Here is a 10525-nt window from a genome sequence, read left to right as displayed (position 1 = left end):
TCCATGGATTTGTACAGCAACACCACCTGGTCAGTGACTTATATCAGAATTTTATAAAAATCGTTCTGCTGACTCATTTCCTTGGCAATGAACTGTGTTCTTTCCATTCTGCCCAGTGAGTGGCTGTCCTCAACCCATGTCTTTAATAGCAACTCTGAGGAGTGACTTAGCAGTCTGTGGCTCTCCTTTGTTCTTATGCCTGGAGTGCTGAAGAAGGCTCTGTTTATGAGGTGGATTAGTTAGGGTCCAGTAAAAAAATAATAATAACAGAAAACCTTTTAATATTTCAAATAGAGGGAATGTGATATAGGAACTTTCCTTCACAGGAGTTGAAAAAGCTGAGAGAGCAAAAAGGTAATGGAGAGATGACCTAAATATTAGTAATGTAGGAAATGGTTTATGACTCTTAGGGCTGTGGAAACAAAAGAGAGGATTGGATGTTTTCTGAGCACAGAAGTATGAAAGAGGGACTACATAACTTGGTACCAGAACCATGGAGAAGAGGTCCCCATGGCCAACACGGATTTTCTGAAGAGATATAACCTCTTCCAGAAACATTTCCAGAGCAGAGACAGAACAAAAGAGATAAACCCTTCTCTCTTCCTACCTTTGATCTTCCACTGGGGTCTTTTATTTGTAGAAGAAAACTGTACAAAGGAAACTAAGTAATATAATTTGAATGCTCTTGGCCCCCAAATTGCAGAAGAAGTAGAGAAATACAGCTAAAGAATGCCAAGAGATAGTAGGTAATGATGGACATGAGGAAACATGGGCATGAGGTTTTAGATTTGATATAATTTTAAAAGAACAATACCAGGAGATTTGTAATTAGTTTCATCTGGGAAATGCTTTAATCCAATGTCTATTCTTGTCCCAGAAAGCCCTAAGCCTGTGCTAATAGACAACTTGGTCAGACCTGTAAAGTTTCTATTGCCTAATATGTCTTAATTTAAAAGTGAAAGGGAAAAAACCTTATCTTTTGTTCTCCTTCATATTCCTAAACCTAATCCCAGTTTTAATGTCTTGATGTATATTCTGACCCATAAGCCAAAACCCTAGCCTGCCCCCTGTTTTGTATGGCCCATGTGCTAAGAGTGATTTTTGCATATTTAAATAGCTGAAAACATTTTCAAAATAATGGTAATATTTCATGGCATGTGAAAGTTGAACAAAATTCAAATCTTAGGGTCCAGAAATAAAGTTTTGGATTGTGCCAACCAAAAAACATCATGACGTGGGCTCAACCAATGAGCCTCTGTGTTATGAAATTCATTATGGAGTAATTACATCATCACTTTTCCTAGCTGGGATGCAGAAAAAAACCTTTTGCAGCATCCTGGGAGAATTGATTTCTCCAGACAGTCTCTTTCCAGTCATCATAATGCTATTCTCTCCCAACCAGAACATTACCTGGTGCAAAAGTCATTGCAGTTTTTACCATTACTTTTAATTATTTTTAATGGCAAAACTTGCAATTACTTTCACAGCAACCTGATGCATGAATGGGGCCATAGCATAGAATCCTGAACTAGCTACAGAGCACCGGAGCTGGATTTCTGTCCTTACCACTCCACTGATACTGCTTCTATCAAGGAAACTGAGAAACCATCATGTTGCCAAATCCAAGGGTCCCATCCCAACTCGCATTGTACTTATTCACTCATCGGCATTCAGTAAAGTTGATCACAAACTACTACTTAAGAGATTTTCTTTTCTCATATCTTCCCTGGCTCCACCTTCCCGGTTGAGCCACCAAGCTGCCTGTTCCTTACTGATTTATCATCCTCTCTTTACCCTCTAATTTAACACATCTCAGTTCAATGTCCCTGCGCCTTCCTTGCACATCTGAACACTCTCATGCAGGCCATATCTCTTGTATGCCAATGACTTCAAAATTTATCTGTGTCTAGCATTAGCCCTGGATTTCATATGTATGTATTCAACTGCCTACTTAATATATCTATACATATTTGTTTCCCAGATACTTCAAACATGAAGTGCCCCAAACAGAATTCCTGATTCTCTATATTCCTAAGCAACTCCTTCTCAGTTTCCCAGTCTCAGTCAATAAGAACATGAACTGCCCAGTTGTCCATGCCTCAAACCTAGTAATCACTTTTTTCCCTCTTTCCAAATCACTATATACACAAGTCTTTTCACTCTACCTTCAAATAATTCCCAACTCCCCTTTCTTTGATATTTCTCCATATTACTACCTTAATCCAAGACGCCATCATTGCTCATCTGAATTTCTATAGTGATGACTGATCTCCTTAGCTTCCACTGTTCTTCCATCCCCATCTATCCACCACCAGAGCAGCCAAAGTGTCTTTTCAAAATATGTATCAGGCCTGGACATTGCTGCTTATAATTCTCTAGTTATGTCCCATAAACCCTGAAACAGAATCCAGTCTCCCCACTTTGGCATTTAAGGCCCTCCCTGGCCAAGGACATCACCTTGTCCTCTTCTCTGTTTCTTCCTTCTCCCATTCTTTCACTATGTTCCTGCTTCATTGACCTTATTTCTGTTTCTGAAACATTCCGAGTAATTCTCACCTAAGGACTTCTGCATTAGCTCAGCTTAAACATCATCACCACCTTGGAGAGTTCTTCCTTGAATAGAGAATGTAAAGTTGTTCCCAGAACTCTATTATACACTCAATATTTTTTCATGGTATTTGTGAATTACTAACATTTCTGATACTTTTTGGCCTGTTTATTTCCTTGGTTTTTAAATCACCCATTTAAGTATGAAGTCAAAGAATTATGTTGGGAATTGCAATTTACAAAGTACACATTGATAATATTTTCAGGTTTTATATAAAAAATTTTATTATGTTTTTAATTCAAAAATTATCATGCCAATAAAGTGCTTCTTTCTAATGAAGTCAGTGTGTTATACCAAGTTTTAGGCAGATGGAAATACAGTGCATTGTTCTAACATGATATATATACACATCTATATCTGTTTAATAATCAAGACATTGTTGATTTAACAACATCTAAAATAATCTTCTAAACAAGGAGATCGTATTTCAAATTAATGTACTTATCATTAACCACCATATTCTAAAAAAATTTTAAGCCCCTATTATTTTTAGCACAGTGGCTATGTTTGATATTTCATATTGTAGCTCATATACTCCTTTATTTAATTGTACTATAATCACATTGCTGAATTTTAAAATTAAATATATAAGTAATTTTATGACATAAGCCAGTATGCAATAAAATTTATTATTATTATTAAAGTGTTCTATGTATTCATATTAAGAATTACTCTGTAATGATTTGGCATCTAAAGTGCAACATTATTTGCTTCCAGGATTCATTGTTTAAAATATAACTTCATTCAGATTTAAAAAACTTCTAGATGCATATTGTATTGAAATGTTACACAGTTTAAGATAACGTACTAACTGCTATATGCAGGACAGTTCCCTTGGTGGCCTTGGATGGACTCACGTTCTGTCCTCCACCGTCCCACCCCCTAGGTTCTCATGTGTCGTTCTCAAGAATAATTGTAGAATGTGCTTGGAATGTAATAGCCAAGACAAGTGGAGAACTGGCTAGAACAGCCCAGACTCTGTTGCAGGTCCCCAGCCCCAGAAGCAGAGGGTCCTCACCGCCCTGCCTTACTATGCTTTAACGTCTTAGTGCATTGAACCAAGTGGCCCCAGGATGTGAAACCTAGGGTGACTGCTTTCCAGGCCCTCAGCTGCTGTTCAAGAGAGGCATGCAGAGTTGATATTCCATCTGCCCCAGGCAGCTTTCTTGAACTTTGAGGAACCTCTTTGAAATGAATCCAAGGCTTCTTTTGTCCGTTGCTGCCTATCTGCAAGTGATAAACTCGCTTCATGTAACTTGTGTTTGTGGGTCTTCTGTCTCACTAGACTCAGAGAAGTTGGTATTCAGTGCGCAGTGACCTGCTTCACGCTGTATTATTTCATCACAGATGTCAGGATTAAAGAAAACCGGAGCTGTTAGTAGAGAAACTATAATAACACTATTCTGTATCATTAAATGGAATATTGAAAATTTTGATGGAATACCAGAAAAAAAGAGAAGAGTAATCAGAGCTATTACTTTCAGCAAACTACAAGTACAGGTATGTCACCAACAGGGCAAGATATAAATTTATCCTCTACCTCCATATCAACCACATCTCATGAATTTGAAGAAAAACTGGAAGAAAAAAAATGACCTGTTACACACAGGTGCTTTCTACTAATGCAGATACATGACTATTTATTATTATTACATAGTTAATTATTATATATAATTTATAGAACAGTTATGTAAATTATGTATGTTATAATGTATACTTTATACAATTGTTATATAAATGATATAGTGACTTGAAATATATTTTATTTGAGGAACAAAAAAATGCTTTTTAAAAACTCAGTGGTGTCATGTGGGCTGGTAGCAGCCCTTTCTGATCAATTTCTAACTTCATCAGGAATTGTTTGCTTTTTAAGGAACATAACTTACTCAAGTTGGTTTAAATTAAAACAGGAAATTTATTTTTGTAGAAAGGGAAGCTTTATGGAATGAAAGAACTGGGAATGAAACTGTCTTCATGACAGCCTGAAACAAGCACCTGGAGAGTACCCCACACTGAAGGTGCCCAGGTACTCTCTTGCTGCTCACTTTCTGGGGCTGCATGGTCACTTGTCTCTGCTTTACTCTGTGCCTGTCTCAGGCTTCTCTCTCTTTCTAAAAACCAACATTCTTTACTGCTGTTATACATGACAAATATAGTCAATGTAGTCATGTGTGCACACTTGCTAGATCCTCTTTGTCCTCCTTCCAAGTTACTAAAGGACAATTTCTAGCTGGTTCAGTTTGGGCCAGCCAGCTCTGGCTAAAAGGGCTGGGCAGTGTAGTGAGGACCCACTTGGCAGGGACCATGAGGTCTCACTTCATGGGCAGCACAGGCAGATGTCTCACAGAGTACCGGCTCTATCTCTTATCACAGAGGATTTTTTTCTGCCCTGCAATACAGGGTAGTCACCCTGCCCTGCATGAAACCAAAGTCTCTTAAGCTTCAGCACCGGACTTCTTATGGAGTCATGGAGCTCTTTTAGCTCCGGCAAATCCTGCTGTTTTTCAGTTTTCAGAGGGATTAATATGGGTGGAGACCTCAAGAGTGCTCACTTCATGTTGATAATACATTCCTAGATTTCTGGCAATCTAGGAACACTGTAAATGAAAGGTCTTCTGTCTATAAAATTATTTTTGGCTTCATGGACCACCTAAAAGGGTTTCAGGGACCCCCTCCACCCCGCAACAGAGGTACATGGACTACACCTTTGGAACTGCTGGTTTGCATTATTCAAATTTTCCTAAGGGTTTATTTTAAGAATAAAAGAATTTCTAATGGAGTCAAAGGGCTAGAACTGGAAATGAAGGATGAGCTGTTGCATATAAGTGACTGGAGGGAAGAGATTAGGAAGTTGAAGCATGATGTCATGCTTAAAATTTTACCAGTCTTGCCAAGCCTTATGGATTTATGCCTGAGTCTATGCAAGCAAGCCTATAGGCAGAATCTGAAGGAACTGTACACATAGGGATTCTGTGAGATGTGGGGGCCTTCTCATCTTTCAGTGCATGGAGGACCTCAATATATACAGGGCTATTTGGAGCATCAAGAAATAAAATCCTTGTTATAGACATCAGCATTCTCAGGGCAAGAACTGCCAGATAGAGTATTAATAGTTGTGGGATGCCCTCATGGGTTGTGGAGAGAAATGGGCATCTCCAAAGGGTTAAAGCAGAACATGGATTACAACACTTTCATGCTCTCATATGTGACATCCCCAGAGACTCTCAGCGGTAATTTTATGTTATTTTAAATTATGTGAAAGATACGATATTACTAGGTGGATCCAGAGGCCAGGGAGATACTAATGTTACCTCATTTGTACTCAGAGCTGGAAGGAATGAGGTGCATGGTCCTCATCTATTTAAATACATTGCCTCTTTTTACTTTCAAGATTGCAAAAAAAATCTTTAGTTGACACACTACATTTTTTATCAGTAATTTCAAGTTTAATATTTACATAGTCTCAGTAAATTTGTGTTAAATAATTGCATCTCTGCTCTGTACCATTTTCTGATCGGTAATTAACAAGACTGTGGTCCCTTCCATTTAACAGGAAACAAGGCAGAAAATGGACCATGCCCAATTTTTGATTTTTCTCTCCCCTAGAATTGGTTCTTATAATGAATCTTGAATTGTTCTTTTCCTGGCAGCAGTCACTTGGGTTTCCTGGCAACTGTCACTTGGGTTTCCAAAGTATATTCAAACCCAGTTTATGGGATGCCAGCATAAATGTCCTGTGAAAACACAGGATGCATCAAGTATGAGTAAAATGCCTAACTCATGACTAACTTATATTCATGGAAGAGCTCTTTTTCTACTGGGGAGAAAAACAATTATTTCCTGGCCTTGGTTTCAGTCAGCTTCATTGCTAAAACAACCCAAATTGTTTCTACTTTATAACAGTTTTCAAAGGCAAGAGAGAAAATGTGTTGCCAAGGAGACCCATTGTGTGCAGAGGAAGGAGGAGTAATGATACCTGTGACCATGCAGCTATAATTTCCCCTGCCTCCATCTCTTGACCTGCAAGAGCTCACAAAAGATTGAGGTAATGTGAAGACATTGATAAATCCCTCATGGTCTTCAGATCGTATTTCATACCAATTCCTCTCAATCCAGTAACTTTGACATATATTTGATGTAACTTCCTTGATAGCAACAAGAAATAGCCCAGCATGAGCAACCAGAGGTCACAGTTTTGCAATAATTTTACTTCTTGTGTGGAAGGTAATTTACTCAGAGCCCTAATGTACCTGGGAAATAATCAGACACAGTATGTTGGTTTACATTGGAGTTATCTAAGAACTTCAAGAGACATATACTTCAGGGCCATTGTATCCTGAAAAATCATGGTGGTCTTCCATGTTCATCAAGCTTCTGTCCTAAAGTTACAAGTCCTAATGTTTTCTCCTTTTTTAAAATAATTGTATTTTAAATATCACTTAATTAACTCATTTTTTTATTTCCATAGTTAGAAAAACCTAAAATTCCTAAGGCAAATGAAACAGGTAATGTTCCACACACTAGCTATGTGAAATTATGCTGTAAAAGGAATAATTTTGCCCAGAATCTGCCGACAGAATGAGAAATATGAGAAGGTAGTAAAGAGAGGTTCTTTCTGAGGTAGAGAAGTTCAGATGGAAATGAACTTAGCCTGAGGTGGCCAAAGGAGGCAAATTCACAGGGAAATCTAAAATTGAAATCTTGAAGGGAAACCAAAGATCATGGTAATTAAGTAGTACTGAGTTTCAGACCAATCATGAAAGCAAAATTAAAAGGAGAGACATTAATTGAGAGCAACAAGGTCTATGACACTCAATGTTGAATTAAAATTGTGTGGACTGAGTGGCTGTTGCAGAACACTTCCCTGTGTTGTTGGATGTATCACATGGAGCAGGAGGGATGGCTTGCTAATACTATCAATGATCAGACAAGAATGAAAAGTGAGTTGCTCTAATATTTACTTTAAGTCACAGAGCCATTTTCTTATTATTTTAAAAAATCTCTCTGTATGAAAGAAATGTCACTATACACTGTACAAGGGGGTTCTATTTGGTCAAAGGCTATCAAATACCAAAACCCATTAAAATTCAGGACTTTCTAATGAACCTATTTAGAATGGGAAACAAGTCCTTTGGTAACTGGCATATTTTGCTGAATCAGTTGTGACTCTCCTTTCATGTTATTTTGAAAATAGCATTATGAGTGTTTGCCTCAATAAACACACTCACTACATTAATTGTAAATTTATTGAATTTAAGGACACTTTGCAATTGTAAAAATACTTGCTTAGTTTTACATTACAGTAATATATAGCATTACCATCTATTTTCAATGGTACTTTTCTTTTTTTAAAATAAAAGTTCTCTCTGGAAATCCAAAATTGACTAGATCACATGAGTCACTGAGACCTGACAACACTCATGGTATACCCTCTGTTTTGCATTGCTATAAAGGTATACGTGGGGTTGGGCAATTTATAAGGAAAGGAGGTTTATGTAGCTCATGACTCTGCAGGCTGTACAAGAAGCATGGGTGCTGGCATCTGCTTCCAGTGGTGGCCTCAGGCTGCTTCCGCTTATAGCAGAAGGCAAAGGGAAGTCAGTGTGGGCAGAGATCACATAGTAAGAGAATAGAAAGATGGGTGTGGAGGGAGGTGCCAAGCTCTGTTTAACAATCATCCCTCATGGGAACTAACAGAACAAGAGCTCAACTCATTACCAAGGCATTCATGAGGGATTTGCCCCTATGATCCCAACACCCCCCATTAGGCCCCACCTCCAAACCTGGGGATCAGATTTCAACTTGAGGTTTGGAAGGTCAGATATCCAAGCTAACATACCCTCCCTTGTGGAAGTTTTTGGTGCTAGAGGAGCACAGCACACTATTTGCTGTAAGAGAGACACTGAAATTCCTTCTGCACTAGTACTTCACATGCTCACAAATATATTCTGGCTACAATACTTTTTAATGATTGACTCTAAGGGTCAATAAGTGTCTCAAAGCCATTAGACTGAACCTACTTCAAGGGCCACTTCTTCTTTTTTTTTTTTAACCTGGCAAAGTTCTCAACAGAAAAAAAAAATGACACATGACTAGAATCTGAAAAAAATAATTAAATGAATAAATGAATAAGCAAATGAGTGAAAAGTATGCATTCCAAAATACCTACAGATGGGCTGCTTATTTTATGCTAATGGTACCTCAGTCATTGGGATTTTGTTTGATATATGTATAACACGATGGATCACTTCTAACACATGGTCACAGTTTGAGTATATCTCATCTCAATTAGGACAAAACATACTACCATGGGAAGACTAATGTTCCTCAATTAAACGCATGCTCAAGATATTGATACAGACTGAGGTTTACTCAACAGAAAAAAATGCATGTATTTAATCTGCAGATATGACAAGCTATAGATTCTGCAGAATCCCAGTTATCATTCAAAGTATTGGCAATCCATTTTATCAACTCATAGCCAGAAGTGGACAAGGGCAGGTTGGCCTCTTTTTTCAGACATGTGATTACACCCTCTGCAGAGCTGCTCTCTGAAAATTTTCTGCTTGTGGGTAGGATTTCACCACTTACCCCTAAAATACCGGGGGTCCTAGGAGAAGTGCCCCCTGTCCTTTCTTCATTACTGCTACTGCTGCTTTCTTCATGCCATGACCTTCACGACCCTCCTTTCCCCTTCTTCTCTCTCAGGCAGCCAGCAGCTTTCAAACAAACCCTGAGAACCAAAATCTAGCCAGAAATGCTTCCTGTGACTTTCCAATGGATCTTCCCACCATAATGCAGATTTGCAGGTCTATGTCACATATAGACAAAAAAGATGGGATTGCAATAATTACAAGGAGAGATTTATTACTGTTATTTTAAAGGAAAACAAAATGTGAAATAGATTCTGGTAAGCTCAATAGCAGTAATTTGGGAGCGATTGAAACCACAAGCAGGCCTCGTGACCATAGACTATGTGGCTTATAAACAACAGAGATTTGTTGTTCACAGTTCTGGAGGCTGGAAAGTCCAAGATCAAGATGCCAGCAGATTTCTTGTCTGGTGAGGGCCTACTTCCTTATAGACAGCCTTCTTCTCATTTTAACCTCACATGGAGGAAGCATTGAGGTGTTTCTCTCAGGCCTCTTTTAAAAGGGCACCAATCCCATGCATGACCTCATCATCTCCCAAAGGCCCCTCTCCTAACACCATCACTTTAGGAGTGAGGATTTCAACATATGAATTTTGGGAGTACATACACGTCCAAGCGGGAAACTAAAGGAATCACATATGCTCTGCCTTTCTTCTAATCTTTTTTTTTTAACTTCTATGTTTTAGATTACAGTATATTTGCTGAAGGAAAATGCACTGTCTTTTAGCCAAGAGATCTGGAAACAGAAGAAGTAGAAATTTGGAATGAAGAGAAGAGACAAGAAGAACTAGCCAAAAAAATGTCAAATGAAAATTTTGTAAGCACCATTAGTTTTTTTAAAAGCAATTTGCATACTTGAACCGTAAACTTGTGCTAAAGGCAACTCCATAAGCAGTTATAAAAATTACAGAACTAAAAACTACCATTTGATCCAGAAATTCTAGTACTCAATATCTACCCAGAGGAAAATAAGTCATTACATGAAAAAAACACAGGCATACACATGTTTATAGCAGCACAATTTGCAATTGCAAAAATATGGAACCAACCTAAATGTCCACCAACCAACAAGTGGATAAAGAAAATGTGGTGTATAAATACCATGACATACTACTCAGCCATAAAACTGAATGAAATAATAGACTTCACACCAACTTGGATGGAGTTGGAGGCCATTATTCTAAGTGAAGTAACTCAGGAATGGAAAACTAAATATTGTATGCTCTCACTCATAAGTGGGAGCTAAGCTATGAGGATGCAAAGGC

General features: G+C 38.1%; 1 long non-coding RNA gene across 1 annotated transcript; it reads left to right on the top strand.

The window, feature by feature from the left end:
- Window positions 1-3920: 3920 nt before the first annotated feature.
- On the top strand, window positions 3921-10239 carry LOC105377501 (uncharacterized). The gene is made up of 3 exons (XR_939372.2): window positions 3921-4108; window positions 6512-6653; window positions 9947-10239. It is a non-coding gene; the product is annotated as an uncharacterized LOC105377501 (long non-coding RNA).
- Window positions 10240-10525: the final 286 nt, after the last annotated feature.

Source organism: Homo sapiens, chromosome 4, assembly GCF_000001405.40.
Source record: "Homo sapiens chromosome 4, GRCh38.p14 Primary Assembly".
Taxonomy (NCBI): Eukaryota; Metazoa; Chordata; class Mammalia; order Primates; family Hominidae; genus Homo; species Homo sapiens.
The sequence above is the reverse complement of the archived record's forward strand: the minus strand, read 5'-3'. Positions and strand labels throughout refer to the sequence as shown.